General features: G+C 49.0%; 1 protein-coding gene, 2 long non-coding RNA genes and 1 other non-coding gene across 5 annotated transcripts in view, besides 3 other annotated features; 2 read left to right on the top strand and 2 right to left on the bottom strand.

Annotated features, from left to right (window-relative positions):
• Positions 1-716, bottom strand: part of RAB11B (RAB11B, member RAS oncogene family) — a 14075-nt gene extending 13359 nt beyond the window's left edge. The window contains exon 1 of the mRNA NM_004218.4: positions 620-716. Coding sequence (NP_004209.2) covers positions 620-659 — 40 coding nt within the window. The 5' untranslated portion in view covers positions 660-716. The remainder of the gene's footprint in view (positions 1-619) is intronic.
• Positions 324-583: a silencer, noted in NCBI's record as "silent region_10020". NCBI's record gives its function as "represses an Ori minimal core promoter by ATAC-STARR-seq in GM12878 lymphoblastoid cells {active_cell/tissue: GM12878}" and the evidence as "EXISTENCE:reporter gene assay evidence [ECO:0000049][PMID:35858748]".
• RAB11B-AS1 (RAB11B antisense RNA 1) lies at positions 385-16700 on the top strand. The gene is made up of 3 exons (NR_038237.1): positions 385-1067; positions 14009-14114; positions 16468-16700. It is a non-coding gene; the product is annotated as an RAB11B antisense RNA 1 (long non-coding RNA).
• Positions 803-1084: a silencer, noted in NCBI's record as "fragment chr19:8454876-8455157 (GRCh37/hg19 assembly coordinates)". NCBI's record gives its function as "represses an EF-1alpha promoter that drives an FKBP-Casp9 reporter gene in an ReSE screen in HepG2 liver carcinoma cells and K562 erythroleukemia cells {active_cell/tissue: HepG2 | K562}" and the evidence as "EXISTENCE:reporter gene assay evidence [ECO:0000049][PMID:32094911]".
• Positions 854-1053: an enhancer, noted in NCBI's record as "active region_13915". NCBI's record gives its function as "activates an Ori minimal core promoter by ATAC-STARR-seq in GM12878 lymphoblastoid cells {active_cell/tissue: GM12878}" and the evidence as "EXISTENCE:reporter gene assay evidence [ECO:0000049][PMID:35858748]".
• Positions 1696-1786, top strand: MIR4999 (microRNA 4999). The gene has a single exon (NR_049795.1). It is a non-coding gene; the product is annotated as a microRNA 4999 (primary transcript).
• On the bottom strand, positions 2917-11477 carry LOC124904632 (uncharacterized). 2 transcript variants are annotated; one of them, XR_007067129.1, is made up of 3 exons: positions 11099-11152; positions 10068-10184; positions 2917-4912 (listed from the first exon to the last, which is right to left on the bottom strand). It is a non-coding gene; the product is annotated as an uncharacterized LOC124904632 (long non-coding RNA). The 2 variants fall into 2 exon arrangements; XR_007067128.1 differs by lacking the exon at positions 10068-10184 and having other exon boundaries at positions 11099-11477.

Genomic DNA, 16705 nt, shown 5'->3' with positions numbered 1-16705 from the left:
GCACACACGGGTGCCTTTCCACTCAATCCCAGCTTTGCACCCCAATCCAAGGCTCCCACCACCACACACCTCACCCCCAGGCCCTCATCTCGGCCCAGCCCCCATTGCCTGCCCCGCCTCTCCCGGGCCCCACCCCCAAACACGCTGCCCCAATCAGGACAAGCCTCGTGAGAGCCCCGCCTCCGTTTGCCCAGGCCCAACCCACCTATTGGTCACGCCCATCACGCCTTAGCCCCGCCCCTAAAAACCCCGCCCCCATCCCGAATCACGCTTTCAGCCCAGCCCGGCCCGCCAAATCTTGGGAAAGCTCCACCCCCTGCGGAGGCCCCGCCCTAACAGCCTCTCCCACCGCTCCGGGCCCCACCCCCTCTAGGCTCTGGCCCCGCCCCGGCGCGTCCTAGGTCCCCCAGGTCTCTCCGGGCCTCCGGCTCCGTATAGCCGCGCATCCTAGCCCGAAGCTGATGCTGCCCGGTCGGCTCCGGCCTTCCCGGCTGCCTGACCCGCCGGGCCCCAAGCCCCGGGCTCCGGCCTGGGCCCAGCGGCCTGGAGCGCGGCCTTGGCCCGTCTGCCCGCCGCCTCGCCGCCACGACTTCGCCCGTCTGTGCCCCACCGGCCGCACCTTTGAATAGGTAGTCGTACTCGTCGTCCCGGGTCCCCATTGTCCTGGCGCTTCCGGCGGGATCGGCGACTCCGCAGCCCCACCACAAACACCCGACGGGGGCGGAGCCGGCGCCGCGCAGAGCGGCGGTTGAATGGCCTATCAGCGGCGAGTGGAGTAGCGACGGGCACCCAGCGAAGCCAATCAGAGATGGAAGTAGTGCTCTGAGGGTGGGCGCCGCTTGGTACCACCCTCCTCGCCCTCGGTGTCCTGGAGAAAGGCGGAAGGAATGCGGACCTTTTTGAAGTGACGGACGCGCCAGCCTATCAGGGGCGAGCTCAAGAGGGCGGGGCGGAAGACTGCAGGAATGAAATGGATTGACAGACCAAATAACTAATGAGAGGCTTGATTGAGAACCTACCCGACTATCAGAGGACCTGTCCGGGAAGAGAAATGGGGCTACGTCCAGGTAATGCTACGATGCTTAACGTCCCGATGACGTCATAGGTCAGCGCGCGCTGCCCTGGTCGCCCCCCAAGCCCATAAATGACCATTTCCGGGGACCTCAGCGCTGGGTCCCCTTTCTCGGTTGCAGTCTCCATCTCTATATTGGGACTCACTGGGTTATCCTTCTGTGCCTCAGTTTCCTCCTCTGTAAACTGAAGAAACCCGTCTCATGGAATCTTTTGAAAATAACCAGATCAGCCAGGCGCGGTGGCTCACGCCTGTAATTCCAGGACTTTGGGAGGCCGAGGCTGGCGGATCACGAGGTCAGGAGTTCGAGACCAGCCTGACCAACATGGTGAAACCCCGTTTCTACTAAAAATACAAAAATTAGTCGGGCGTGGTCGCTGGTGCCTGTAAACCCAGCTACTCAGGAGGTTGAGGCAGGAGAATCGCTTGAACCTGGGAGGTGGAGGTTGCAGTGAGCCGAGATTGCACCAAGTGTGAATCAACCGTCCACTTTCTGCTATTCTTTGTTAAATAAATACTTTTAAATCCTTACTGGATACCAATGCTCTCCAACAGGACCTCCTACCACTACCCCTCTTTTGTCCTATATTTTGCCACATAGGTAAAATATAAAAATAGGTAATATAGAAAATAAAACACATACTGCTGTATTGTCAGGTAGTGATAGGATTTATCACTACCTGACAATACAGTATGTGTTTGTTTTATATATTTAGGGTGTACAGCGTGTGTTTTGATACACATGTACCCAGTGAAATAATAATTATGACAGTTTTTTTTTTTTTTTTTGAGACGGAGTTTTGCTGTCGTTGCCCAGGCTGAAGTGCAATGGTGTGCTCTCGGCTCACTGCAGCCTCTGCCTCCCGGGTTCAAGCGATTCTCATGCCTCAGCCTCCCGAATAGCTGGGATTACAGGCATGCACCACCATGCTTGGCTAATTTTTTTGTATTTTTAGTAGAGACGGGGTTTCTCCATGTTGGTCAGGCTGATCTCGAACTCCTGACCTCAGGTGATTCGCCCACCTTGGCCTCCCAAAGTGCTGGGATTACAGGCATTTTCACCACACATGGCCAATTATGAGAGTTAAGCAATTAACCTATCCATTGCCTTCCATAATTAACTGTGTGTGTAGTGAGAGTATCTAAAATGTACTTTCTTGGCAAATTTTCAATATACTATGCAAAATTATTAACACAAAGTATACGTTACTTTTTGTTTGTTTGTTTTGGCTGGCTGCGGTGGCTTATGCCTAAAAACATGCCCTTTGAGGAGGCTGAGGTGGGAGGATCACTTGAGGCCAGGAGCTAGAGACCAGCCTAGGCAACATGTCAAAACCCAGTCTCTCAAAAAAAAAAAAAAAAAAAGAAAAAAAGGAAAAAAAAGAGAAAAGGAAAAAAAAGAAAAGAACAACAACAAAAATTAGCCAGATGTGGTGCATCATGCCAGGGTCCCAGATACTTGGGAGGCCAAGGCGGGAGGATCATTCGAGCCTGGGAAATCGAGGCTGCAGTGAGCCATGATCACCCCACTGCACTCCAGCTTGGGTAACAGAGCAAGACCCTGTCTCAAAAAAAAAAAAGCCTTGCTTTCCTGACCCATTGATCTGTTTGTTTTTTGTCCTCTGTCAGCAGCATATCAGCCTGATGACATCAGGGACTGTATCTGTCCCCATCATTGCTGTAAGTTCCCCACTGCTGAATAAATACGTTTATTTATTCAGTGGTGAATAATCTAAGCCTAGAGTCAATGTACTAGTTATTAGAGCAGATGCCATTATCGCCTCTTGGATCTCATTCCCAGGGTGTTCATTGGGCATCTGTCAAAAAAACAAAATTACAACACATTTAGTTTAAAGATCTTAATTGATTTTATTTGCAATTCTACAATCGGGCAACACTTCATTTCACAAAATGAAACTAATTTTCCCATGAGCTGAGCAGGTAGGTTGGTTTTACAGGCAGAAAAAGGGCCAAGTAAAGCACAAACAGAAAATAAAACGTGGAGGTCAGGTGCAGTGGCTCATGCCTGTAATCCCAGCACTTTGGAGGCCGAGGCAGGCAGATCACCCGAGGTCAGGAGTTCGAGACCAGCTTGACCAACATGATAATGATGATGAAACCCTATCTCTACTAACAATACAAAAATATTAGCCGGGCGCGGTGGCAGGTGCCTGTAATCCCAGCTACTCAGGAGGTTGAGGCAGGAGAATCACTTGAACCAGGGAGGCGGAGGTTGCAGTGAGCGAAGATCACACCATTGCACTCCAGCCTGGGAGAGCAGAGCAAAACTCCGACTCAAAAAAAAAGAAAAAAAGAAAAGAAAACTTGGATTGGTCATTTTAAAGTTTCCTTTTGGAGTCTGAGTCTTGCTCTGTCACCCAGGCTGGAGTGCAGTGGTGCGATCATAGCTCACTGCAACCTCAACTTCCTGGGATCAAGCAATCTTCCCACCTCAGCCTCCTGAGGAGCTAGGATCACAGGTGTGTGCCACCATGCCCAGCTAATTTTTTTTTTCCAGAGACAGGGTCTTGCCTTGTTGGCCAGGCTGGATTTGAACTCCTGAACTCAAGCAATCCTCCTGCCTTGGCCTCCCAAAGTGCTGGGATTACAGGCATGAGCCACCACCGCACTCAGCCCAAAGTTACTTTTCTTGTAAAGGTTAAAGCAGAGAGGACATCCTTATCATGATGGCTAAAACTGACCTGGTGGGAGACTTGGCTATCCCATCTCTCTCTCTCCTGATTTTGTAGAAGGTCAGATAAACAACTTAGTTTCTTTTTGATCACGTAAAACTTTAGCATGAGTGACTCCATTTTGGTTTAGTTTGTTGGGCCTGGTGTAGGAAGTCAGTCCAAAGTAATAGCCTCCTATAAGTTTTGTATAACACATCCTGTGTCCAGATTGGTGGGTTCTTGGTCTTGCTGACTCCAAGAATGAAGCCACAGACCCTCCGGTGAGTGTTACGGTTCTGAAAGATGGTGTGTCCAGAGTTTGTTCCTTCTGATATTCAGACATGTCTAGAGTTTCTTGCTTCTGGTGGGCTTTTGGTCTCGCTGACTTCAGGAGTGAAACTGCAGACCTTTGCGGTGAGTGTTACAGCTCATAAAGGCAGTGCGCACCCAAAGAGTGAGCAGCAGCAGGATTTACTGGGAAGAGTGAAAGAACAAAGTTTCCACAGCATGGAAGGGGACCCAAGCACGTTGCCGCTGCTGGCTGCGGTGTCCTGCTTTTATTCCCTTATTTGGCCCCACCTACATCCTGCTGATTGGTCCATTTTACAGAGAGCTGATTGGTCCACTTTACAGAGTGCTGATTGGTCCGTTTTACAGAGTGCTGATTGGTCCGTTTTGACAGAGTGCTGATTGGTGCATTTACAAACCTTTAGCTAGACACAGAGTGCTGATTGGTGCATTTACAATCCTTTAGCTAGACAGGAAAGTTCTCTAAGTCCCCTACGCGATTAGTTAGACACAGAGCGCTGATTGGTGCATTTACAAACCTTTAGCTAGACACAGAGCGCTGATTGGTGCATTTGCAATCCTTTAGCTAGACAGAAAAGTTCTCCAAGTCCCTACTCAACCAAGAAGCCCAGCCGGCTTCACCTCTCAATCACCCCTCTAAACAGAACACCCCAACTGCTGTTGGGAATTTGGCCGATGACCACTCTAGCTACTTCCTGCTGGAAGAAGGGGCCCTGCAATTGTAGTGTCCTCCAGAGGGGAACTCTTTAGGCCAGTGGAAGGGCCAGTGGGTCGGTCCAGGGGTCCTCAGTAGAAGTTGTTAGTTGAACTCATTTGGGGTTCCATTTTTAAGACCATCTGTAGCTTGATGGCCTCGATTCTAGAAGAAACAAATTTGACAAGAAGGTTAAAAATGCAGGGCCCAAAGGTGAGTAAGAGCAAGATGGCTGCCACAGGACCTAGGGGAGAAGCCATGTTGCCCAACTCCAGAGGTTGGTATTAGAGTTCGAAAGGCATTGTCTGATTTCAGAAGCCTTTTCCTGTAAATGCCAGGTGGCATCTCGTGCTATCCCTGACTGTTTAGTGTAAAAACAACACTCTTCCCCTAAGAAGGTGCAGAGTCCTCCTTTCTCAGCAGTGAGGAGGTCTAGGCCTCAGTGGTTTTGGAGAGTTGCTGCTGCCAAAGAGTATATTTGGGATTGTAGAGTAAGGATAGATTTTGTTATTTCTTACAAACTGTCTGAGAAATCCTTTGAAGGTGTATGGTAGTAGAATAATGAAGTGGATAAACTGGCTATTCCGGTTCCTGTAGCAGTAGCCATTCCTAACCCTATAAGTAGGGATATTAGTTGTATGGCCCTGCGCTGATAGACTTGAGCTTTGAGGGGCACAGATACGGTCTGATTTCCATAAGATTAGAAGTTAGGATAATACATGTTACACTGTTAACTTTTTTAGCAAACTTTACTTTTGTTGAAAACCTTGTAAGTTTGGGATTTCAATTATTCTTTGCTATTAGTAAGACCTTGTTCAGTCCATATTAACTTAGAATTGGTATAGATGGCTGCTTCCTGATTCTGTAAGTACTTTAAGATTTGGCTGAGTGGAAACAACTGGCATGTTTGAGCAGACCAATTATTAGGCAATTTTCCTAACTCTGCATCTACAAGAGTTTCCTTATCACTTACTGAATACCCATTGTGTCTTTTTCCCTTAATCGCCTGGGAGGAACCATCTATCATCCTGTCCTGAAGGGAGTTCCTCCTAGATCTGGTCAGACCTTTGTATGGTAATTAATTAAGATTTAGATCTCCTGTTAGGAAACCTGCTGGGTTAAGGATTTTTGATAGGAAGGCTACAGGTTGTCAGTGGCCTCAGTGCTTTCCGGCTATGCCCTTGTTTACACTGACAACAAGGTGGTATTGGAGTGTTATAAGGTTACAGAGAAGACCTTCAATTATCAATTATAGGTTTTAAATTTACGCTAGGGTACACTTTTTTTTTTTTACTACTTCTATCTCCTTTTCTCTTTGACTTCTTCTTTGTCTCTGTCTCTTCCTCTCTGTCTCCTTCTCTTTGTCTCTCTGTTTCTTCCTCTCTTCTCTCTTTCTCTGACTTCCTGTCTCTTTCTCTCTTTCCTTTCTGCTGGTCTTTCCCTGCCTCTGCTAGCCACTTATGCTGCTGTTCTCCCCTCTTCTTCCCATTTTTGATGGCTTCGGCTGTGTAAGACTGCCACCTCCTTGGGTTTTTGCACTGTGTGCAATAACTCCATGGTTTCCTTGTGGTATTTAATGGGGGTTCCCCCAGAGGTTAGAAACTCCCTTTCTTTCCATATTGCGGCATGGGCATGTAGGATTAGGTAAGCATACTTGCTATATGTATACACATTTATTCTTTTTCCGTTTCCCAGTTCTAAGGCTCAGGTAAGTGCCACTAGTTCTGCTAACTGGGCGCTGGTCCCTGGGGGAAGAGGCTTACTTTCAAGTACAGTTACATCACTAACTATGGCATAACCTGCCCTTCATATCCCATTCTCCACAAATGAACTTCCATCAGTATATAGGTTAAGGTCAAGATTAGCTAAGGGGACTTCTAAGAGATCCTCTTGGGCAGCATAATTCTGGGCTATAATTTGTTGGCAGTCATGCTCAATTGGTTCCTCATACTCTGGGAGAAAAGTGGCAGGGTTGAGGGCCACACATGTGCATATTTGAAGCACCAGCCCCTCAAGGAATAGTGCCTGGTATCTAAGTAGGCGATTGTCTGATAGCCATAAACTTTCTTTAGCACCTAGGTTGCCATTTACATCATGAGTAGTCCAGACAGTGAGATCCTTTCCTTGTATTATTTTGATAGCCTCTGACACTAAGACAGCCACTGCTGCAACTACCCATAAGCAATGAGGCCAGCCATTTGCTACTACATCAGTTTCCTTACTTAGGTATGCCACTGGTTGTGGGGTTATCCCATGAGTCTGAGTAAGGACTCCAAGAGCTATCCCTGCTCTCTCTGTGATGTTTTGTCCTGTGGGAAGGCTTAAAGCTGGAGCTTGTACTAGGGCCTGCTTTAAGGTTTTGAAGGCTGTTTCTGCCCCTGGTTCCCATTCTACTAGATGAGTATTTGCCCTCTGGGTCTCCTTGATTAGAGTATAGAGGGGCCTGGCTATCTCGCTGTATCTGGGGATCCACAATCAGCAAAAGCTGGTGATTTCAAGGAACCCCTGCAACTGTTAAATGTCTTAGGGTGAGGATAAGCCAGTATAGGCTGTATTTGTTCCTTGCTGAGGGCCCTGATTCCTCTGGCTAAGATTAGGCCTAGATATTTGACCTGCTGTAGGCAAAGCTGGGCCTTCGACCTAGATGCCTTGTACCCTTGATTAGCTAGAAAGTTCAAGAGATCTAGAGTAGCCTGCTGGCATGAGGCTTCTGAACTAGTAGCCAAAAGTAAATCATCCACATACTGAAGGACCAGAGCACCTGGATTTGAGAAGTGGCCTAGATCTTGAGCCAGTGCCTGACCAAACAGATGAGGGCTATCCCTAAACCCTTGGGGCAAGACCATCCACGTAAGTTGGGACGTGTGGTCTGTGGGATCCTCAAAGGCAAAGAGAAACTGAGAGTCAGAGTGCAGGGGAATACAGAAGAAGGCATCCTTGAGGTCCAGAACAGTGAACCATTCTGCTTCCTCTGGTATTTGAGAGAGCAGGGTATAGGGGTTGGATACAACTGGATATAGAAAAATTATTGCCTCATCGATGAGTCTAAGATCTTGCACTAGTCTCCATTGACCATTTGGTTTTTGTACTCCTAGAATTGGGGTGTTGCAGGGACTGCTGCATTTCCTTACTAAGCCTTGAGCTTTTAAATGTTTAACAATATCCTGTAATCCTTTATAAGCTTCAGGCTTTAAGGAATATTGCCTTTGATAAGGAAATGTGGTGGGATCTTTTACCCTGATTTGGACTGGGTGGGCATTTTTTGCCCTTCCAAATTGTCCTTCCAATGCCCAGACTTCAGGCTTGATTTCATCCTCAAGTAGGGGACAACAAATGGGAAACTTGTTCCCCATATTCATGTAGATAATAGCTCCAGCTTTGGCTAATATATCCCTCCCTAATAAGGGTGTGGGACTTTCAGGCATAACAAGAAAGGCATGTGAAAAGAGCAAAGTCTCCCAATTACAACTGAGGAGGTGGGAGAAATACCTGGTTACAGGCTGTCCCAGGATTCCTCAGATGGTAACGGACCTGGAGGACAGCTGTTCAGGACAGGAAATTAACACTGAGAAAGCCGCACCAGTGTCCAGGAGGAAGTCAATTTCCTGGCTGTCAATGGTTAAAGTTACCTGGGGCTCAGTGAGAGTGATGACATGAGCTGACACTTGCCCCAGGCACCCTCAGTCCTGTTGTTGGATCATCTGGTTGGGGGCTTCTGTCCCAGAGAAGCTTTGTCCTCTGGGGCAGTGTGCCTTCCAGTGATTGCCTTGGCATAGGGGACATGGACAAGGGGGCAGCTTGTTTCTCATTGGACAATCTTTTTTAAAGTGTCCTTGCAAACCACACTGCTAACAAGCCATACTGGATGATTGGCCTGCTCCATTTTCTGTCCTCTCTGAACCACCAAGGTTTGTTTGTCTGAGGGCCATGACTAAGTCTGCGGCCTTTCTCTGATCTCACTTTTCCTTTTGGGCCTGTTCCTCTTGGTCCCTGTTATAGAACAGTGAGGTTGCCAGGTTTAATAATGCCTCTAGATTTTGTTCAGGGCACAGGGCTCACTTTTGGAGCTTTCTCCTGATATCTGTGGCTGATTGGATAATAAACTTATCTTTTAGGATCAATTGACCCTTGAGTGATTTGGGTGACAGGGGAGTATATTTTCTTAAGGCCTTCTGTAGCCACTCGAGGAAGGCAGAAGGATTTTCTTCCTTTCCCTGAGTTATGGTGGACATCAGTGAATAATTCATGGGCTTCTTCCTAATTATCCTTAGTCCTTCTAGAACATAGGTCAACAGATGTTTATGACTCCAGTCCCCATGATCTGAATTGAAGTCCCAGTGGGGATCCATACTGGGGATGGCTTGCTGACCAGTAGGGAATTTGTCCCTTTCTTCAGCTGTCATTCTATCATTTACTTAACTAAGATACCAGGTACCTCCAAAGTCTTGGGCTGCAGCTAAAGCTGCATTATTTTCATTAAAGGCCAGGGTTTGATCTAACAATAGCATGACATCTCTCCAAGTGAGATTGAAGATTTGCCCTAGACCCTGTAGGACATCTATGTACCTATCAGGATCATCTGAAAACTTCCCCAGGTGTGCCTTGATCTGCTTTAAATCAGAGAGGGAGAAGTAGACATGTACCCATGTTAGGCCAAATTCCCCTCCCGCTACAATTTGAAGGGGACATAACCGACAGCCCAGGGGAGTTTTGTGGTCCTTTGGAGATTTCTTTGCTTATTTCCTTCTGGGCAGGGGAGATTAGAGGAGGCTTGTCACTAATACGAAGGGGAGCTGTAGGGAGGCTAGGATATGGGGGTAAGCTGAAAGGTTCTCCTGTGGGATGTAAATTGCAACCTTTGCATAGATGTGTATTCTCCTTTAATGAAAGGAAAGCTTGGACATAACTATTTCACTCCATTTGCCTTTCTCTTACAGAAAAGGTCAAGCTGCAGGATAGTATTGTAATTTGTACTTCCCTCAGATGGCCATTTTTCCCCATCAGAGAGAGAATATTGGGGCCAGGCCACAGTGCAGAAAAAAATGAGCTGCCTCTTTTTCAGGGTTTGCAGGTCAGACTGGTCCCAATGGCCTAGGATGCATTTCAAGGGTGAGCCTGTTGATGCCTGTTTCCCATCTGAAAGACAAAACCACCCACGATTTTGGTGTGTTTTTCTTCTCCCCCTGCCCAAGAATCCACAATGGTCCTTGGGCCCTGCTGATCGGAATAGTTGCGCTCACTGATGCAGCAGCAGAAACAACCCCTGCCCAAGAACCCGTAATGGTCACTAGACCCTGCTGATTGGAATAGTTGCACTCACCAACGCAGCAGCAGAAACAGTAGCTTTCCTCCCAGACCACAAGGAGAACCGAGGAAGGTCGGATTTAGTGGCCCTTACCAACGCATTCTCAAAAAACCTGCACCCTTGCCTGTCCTCCTAGACCACAAAGATGACCGAGAAAAATTGGATTTAGTGGCCCTTACCAACACATTCTCGAAAACCTGTTACAGTCCTAAGCATTCTCCTTTTAGTATTGGGACCTTACCAATTTCCTACAATGATGTTATGCCCCAAAAATGAAGTGGAGGGCCATACCATGAGGGAAGGAAGGGATCTCCAGGGTTGGAAGAGTGACACCTTTTGTCCTCACTTATATGAATAGGAAGAATACAATTTCTGAGGCTCCCCATATCCTAGCTTCAGGAATAGCTTTTATTAGTCCTGCTTGTCTGAGGAGGGATCCTAAAATTCCAGATAGCCCCCCTACAACAGGGCTTTGGGCAAAAATTATGTCTTTCTGATTAGTGAGCCTAGGTGCCTAAAGAAGGTAACAGAGTCCTGAAGTTTATACTAGAAGTCATTCTTATAGGAGAAACTAGAAAAGCACCAGAGACAGGGAGTGGTTTTTAGAGGTGGGACTAGCCTCGGAGAAGAGAGGCGAGAGGAAGTTTGTCTGACAGGCATTAGGACCCAGGAGGCAAGGGTCAGGACAGATAGGATAGATGGGCGAGTCTCACTTGGGCGACATGACTTTGAGAGTTCTGCTCATGGCCACAGGATCAACCAACTTGTTGTCAAGACCCCAGAGCTGAATGGCTTTCCTGTCAACCCTCGACTCAGCCCAGAAGTACAGGAAAAGCGGAAGCTGGTTCCAGGCAAACTAACGCTCCCAACTCCAAAAAGTCGGGGTTTGTTAGAGAGCCCCTTCCCAGAAAGCCTCACACCCATGTCTTTAGTCCAGCACCTGCGCTAGTCGCTTTTAACTGGCCGACAGGTGCCCGGTATTTAGCCCCCAAATTCTAAGGAAAAATAGGACGAATAGCAAGCGAAAGGGGTCCGATGGTACTCACCGCTTGGTGATAGGCGATAGTCTCACCGCTTGGTGATAGGCGATAGTCCCTTCGTGGTCGCCAAAATGTGTCCAGTATTGGTGGGTTCTTGGTCTCACTGACTTCAAGAATGAAGCTGTGGACCCTCACGGTGAGTGTTACAGTTCTTAAAGATGGTGTGTCTGGAGTTTGTTCCTTCTGATGTTTGGATGTGTCTGGAGTTTATTCCTTCTGGTAGGTTCGTGGTCTCGCTGACTTCAGGAGTGAAGCTGCAGATCTTTGCGGTGAGTGTTACAGCTCATAAAGGTGGTGCGGACCCAAAGAGTGAGCAGCAGCAAGATTTATTGCGAAGAGTGAAAGAACAGAGCTTCTACAGCGTGGAAGGGAACCTGAGTGGGTTGCTGCTGCTGGCTCGGGTGGCCTTTTATTCCCTTATTTGGCCCCACCCACATCCTGCTGATTGGTCTATTTTACAGAGAGCTGATTGGTCCATTTTACAGAGTGCTGATTGTTCCGTTTTAGAGTGCTGATTTGTCCATTTTGACAGAGTGCTGATTGGTGCATTTACAAAACTTTAGCTAGACACAAAGTGCTGATTGGTGCATTTACAATCCTTTAGCTAGACAGAAAATTCTCCAAGTCCCCTACCTGATTAGCTAGACACAGAGCGCTGATTGGTGCATTTACAAACCTTTAGCTAGACACAGAGTGCTGATTGGTGCATTTACAATCCTTTAGCTAGACACAGAGTGCTGATTGGTACGTTTACAATCCTTTAGCTAGACAGAAAAGTTCAAGTCCCCACCCGACCCAGAAGCCTAGCCGGCTTCACCTCTCAATCCCATAAACAAATTTGACTCCTTCCCCATATCCACTCCCCCTCTTGTGTCTCCATCCTTCCTTCCCTCCCTCCCATCAAACCCAGAGGACATGGACTTCTGTCTCATCTTCTCCTCTCTGCCTCCCTCCCTCTATCATCCTCAGTTGCCTTATTCTGTCTCTCCTCCCTCTGAAATTTCTCTTGATTCTTTTTTTTTTTTTTTGAGGCAGGGTCTCACTCTGTTGCCCAGGCTGGAGTGCAGTGGCATGATCTCGGCTCACTGCACCCTCTGCCTCCCGAGTCCAAGCAATTCTCTGCCTTAGCCTCTCAAGTAGCTGGGATTACAGGCGCCCACCACCACACCTGGCTAATTTTTTTGTATTTTTAGTAGAGATGGGGTTTCACTATCTTGGCCAGGCTGGTCTTGAACTCCTAACCTCATGATCCACCCGCCTTGGCCTCCCAAAGTGCTGGGATTATAGGCATGAGCCACTGCACCCGGACTTTTTAAAAATTTATCGTAGAGATGAGGTCTTGCTGTGTTGCGTAGGCTGGTCTCAAACTCCAAGGTCCTCCAGCCTCAGCCTCCCAAAGAGCTGGGATTACAGTCGCGAGGCACTGGACCCAGCCTGTGATGAATATTAATGCCTTATTAATTCTTTACCACCCCCTCCCCACACCATGAGGCCAGGAAGGGATGGTGGCATGGAGGGGTGGGGTGTCAAAACCATCCCCATTTTCCAAATGCAGGAACTGGGGCCAGTGAGCTCCTGTGGTCCAGGAGAGGGATGTGATTTACAGCTGCAGCTCTGGAGTTTAACAGGTCCAGGTTCACATCCCAGCTTCCTGGCCCCTTGTTAGTTTCCTGCCATGGTGTTTTTCTTTTCTTTCTTTTTTTCTTTCTTTTTTGAGACAGAGTCTTGCTCTGTCACCCAGGCTGGAGTGCAGTGGTGCAATCTCAGCTCACTGCAACCTCCGCCTCCCAGGTTCAAGTGATTCTCCTGCCTTAGCCTCCCGAATAGCTGGGACTACGGGCATGTGCCACCATGCCTGGCTAATTTTTTGTATTTTTAGTAGAGACGGGGTTTCACCGTGTCAGCCAGTATGGTCTTGATCTCCTGACCTTGTGATCTACCCACCTCAGCCTCCCAGAGTGCGGGGAGTGTAGGAGTGCGCCACCGTGCCCAGGTGGTGGTTTTTTTTTTTTTTTTTCTGTCGTTCCCCAGGTTGGAGGGGCAGGAAATGCTTTGAGGTCAAGGTGGCTGCAGGAAAAAGGATGACATTGAAGAGATGAGCCCATCATTGGCAGAGCCTGGAAATGAAGAGGGTGTGGCTAGAGGAACCCCCTCTCCTGCAGACTGGACTCACCACCAGCTCCAGTGACAGTGGGCTCAGAGGAGATCCTCTAAGCCTGCTCAGTACAGGACACAGGCAAACAAGGAACCTGGAGAGGGCAGCCTCTAGCCTCCCTGGCCTGGCAGCTGTAGGACCTACCTCTACAAAGCTAAAAAGTTTGTCACCTATACCCAGCCACAGCCCCAGGGAAACAGCTGTGTCCCCAGCACCTGCCAGGAAGGGTCAAGACAAGGAAATCACAGATATTTTTTCTTCTAGCGCAAGAACCCCCACCACCTCCCCAAGAGACATCTATAAGGAATATTTGGAGGGAGATACTGGGGCAAAAATAAATTAACAGGCCGGGCACAGTGGCTTGCGCCTGTAATCCCACCAGTTTCGGAGGCCGAGGCGGGCAGATCACTTGAGGTCAGGAGTTTGAGACCAGCCTGGCCAAACCCATCTATACTAAAAATACAAAAATTAGCTGGGTGCAGTGGGAGGCGCCTGTAATCTCAGCTACTCGGGAGGCCGAGGCAGGAGAATCGCTTGAACCCGGGAGGTGGAGGTTGCAGTAAGCTGAGATCGCACTACCGCGCTCCAGCCTGGGTGACAGAGTGAGACTCTTGTCTCGGAAAAAAAAAAAAAAAAAATTAACAGCAGCTGGGGTTCAGAAAATGGACAGATGTGGTTTTCCTCAAATACATGTCCTAGATGTAGGGTATCCAATTATTACAATTTTTATTTTATTTCATATTTATTTATTTATTTTTTAGACAGAATCTCGCTCTGTTGCCTGGGCTGGAGTGCAGTGGCACTGTATCCGGAATTGGGGGGTTCTTGGTCTCACTGACTTCAAGAATGAAGCCATGGACCCTTGCGGTAAGTGTTCCAGCTCTTAAGGTGGCGCGTCTGGAGTTTGTTTCTTCTGATGTTCAGGTGTGTTCAGCGTTTCTTCCTTCTGGTGGGTTCATGGTTTCACTGGCTCAGGAGTGAAGCTGCAGACCTTCGCAGTGAGTGTTACAGCTCATAAAAGCAGTGGGGACCCAAAGAGTGAGCAGTACAAGATTTATTGCAAAGAGCAAAAGAACAAAGCTTCCACAGTGTGGAAGGGGACCCAAGTGGGTTGCCACTGCTGGCTCGGGCAGCCTGCTTTTATTCTCTTATCTGGCCCCACCCACATCCTGCTGATTGGTAGAGCCCACTGGTCTGTTTTGACAGGGCGCTGATTGGTGCGTTTACAATTCCTGAGCTAGACACAAAGGTTCTCCACATCCCCACCAGATTAACTAGATACAGAGTGTCAACACAAAGGTTCTCCAAGGCCCCACCACAGTAGCTAGATACAGAGTGTCGATTGGTGCATTCACAAACCCTGAGCTAGACACAGGGTGCTGATTGGTGTGTTTACAAACCTTGAGCTAGATACAGAGTGCCGATTGGTGTATTTACAATCCCTGAGCTAGACATAAAGGTTCTCCAAGGCCCCACCAGAGTAGCTAGATACAGAGTGTTCATTGGTGCATTCACAAACCCTGAGCTAGACATAGGGTGATGATTGGTGTATTTACAATCCCTGAGCTAGACAAAGGTTCTCCACGTCCCCACCAGACTCAGGAGCCCAGCTAGCTTCACCCAGTGGATCCTGCACCGGGGCTGCAGGTGGAGCTGCCTGCCAGTCCCACGCCGTGCGCCTGCACTCCTCAGCCCTTGGGTGGTGGATGGGACTGGGCACCATGGAGCATGGGGCAGTGCTCGTCAGGGAGGCGCGGGCCGCACAGGAGCCCATGGAGGGGGTGGGAGGCTCAGGCATGGCGGGCTGCAGGTCCCGATCCCTGCCCCGCGGGAAGGCAGCTAAGGCCTGGTGAGAAATCAAGCGCAGCGCCGGTGCGCTGGCACTGCTGGGGGACCCAGTACACCCTCCGCAGCCGCTGTCCGGCCCGGGTGCTAAGCCCCTCATTGCCCGGGGCCAGCAGGGCCGGACGGCTGCTCTGAGTGCAGGGTCCGCCAAGCCCACGCCCACCCGGAACTCCAGCTGGCCCACAAGCACCGCGCGCAGCCCCGATTCCGGCTCGCGCCTCTCCCTCCACACTTCCCTGCAAGCTGAGGGAGCCAGCTCCGGCCTTGGCCAGCCCAGAAAGGGGCTCCCACAGTGCAGCGGTGGGCTGAAGGGCTCCTGAAGTGCCGCCACAGTGGGAGCCCAGGCAGAGGAGTCGCAGAGAGTGAGCGAGGGCTGTGAGGACTGCCAGCACGCTGTCACCTCTCAGCGCCATCTCGGCTCACTGCAACCTCCACCTCCTGGGTTCAAGCAATTCTCCGGCCTCAGCCTCCTGAGTAGCTGGGATTATAGGTGCGCATCACTATGCCCAGCTAATTTTTGTATTTTTAGTAGAAATGAGGTTTCACCACATTGGCCAGGCCAGACCAGCCTGGACAATAGAGTGAGACCCTATATAGGGATCTCACTATATAGAGCAATACAGCGGGATCACCCGACCTCGGGTGATCCGCTCGTTGGCCTCCCAAAGTGCTAGTGTTACAAGTGTGAGCCAATGCGCCCAGCCCTATTCTTTTTTTTTTTTTTTTTTTTTTTGAAATCAAGTCTTGCTCTGTCACCCAGGCTGGAGTGCAGTGGCATGATCTCTGCTCACCGCAACCTCCACCTCCCGAGTTCAAGTGATTCTCCTGCCTCAGCCTCCTGAGTAGCTGGGATTACAGGCACCCGCCACCACACCCGGCTAATTTTTGTATTTTTAGTAGAGACGGGGTTTCACCATGTTGGTCAGGCGGGCCTGGAACTCGTAATGTCAGATGATCCACCTGCCTCGGCCTCCTAAAGTGCTGGGATTACAGGCATGAGCGACCACGCCATCTTTTTTTTTTTTTTTTAACAAAACACAGATGTAGAATTAGAGCCTTCAGGGGTGGGTGCAGTGGCGCTCACACCTTTAATCCCATCACTTTGTGAAGCCAAGGCAGGAGGATCCCTTGAGTCTCGGTGTTTGAGACCAGCCTGGACAATAGAATGAGACCCTGCCTCTACGAAAAAAAAATTATTTTTGTTTTGAGATGGAGTCTTGCTCTGTTGCCCAGGCTGGAGTGCAGTGGCGCAATCTCGGCTTATTTGCAGCCTCTGCCTCCTTGGCTCAAGTGATTCTTCTGCGTCAGCCTCTAGAGTAGCTGGGACTACAGACGTGCACCACCATGCTCGGCTAATTTTTGTATTTTTTTGTAGAGATGGGGGTTCCACCATGTTGGCCCGGCTGGTCTCGAACTGCTGACCTCAAGTGACCTGCCTGTCTCGGCCTCACAAATGGCTGGGATTACAGGCACGAGACACCGTGCCTGGCCCTGGGAACATGTTTACATGGACTTTGTTCACTTTTTAAAACAAACTGAGGGTAACTTACTAGATCTGTGAACTAAAGAAAGAGAAAAAAAAGAAAGAAAACAAACAAGAACAAAGAACAAAG

This window comes from Homo sapiens, chromosome 19 (genome assembly GCF_000001405.40).
Source record: "Homo sapiens chromosome 19, GRCh38.p14 Primary Assembly".
NCBI lineage: Eukaryota > Metazoa > Chordata > Mammalia > Primates > Hominidae > Homo > Homo sapiens.
Note: the sequence above shows the minus strand (reverse complement) of the source record. Positions and strands in the feature narration are given on the sequence as shown.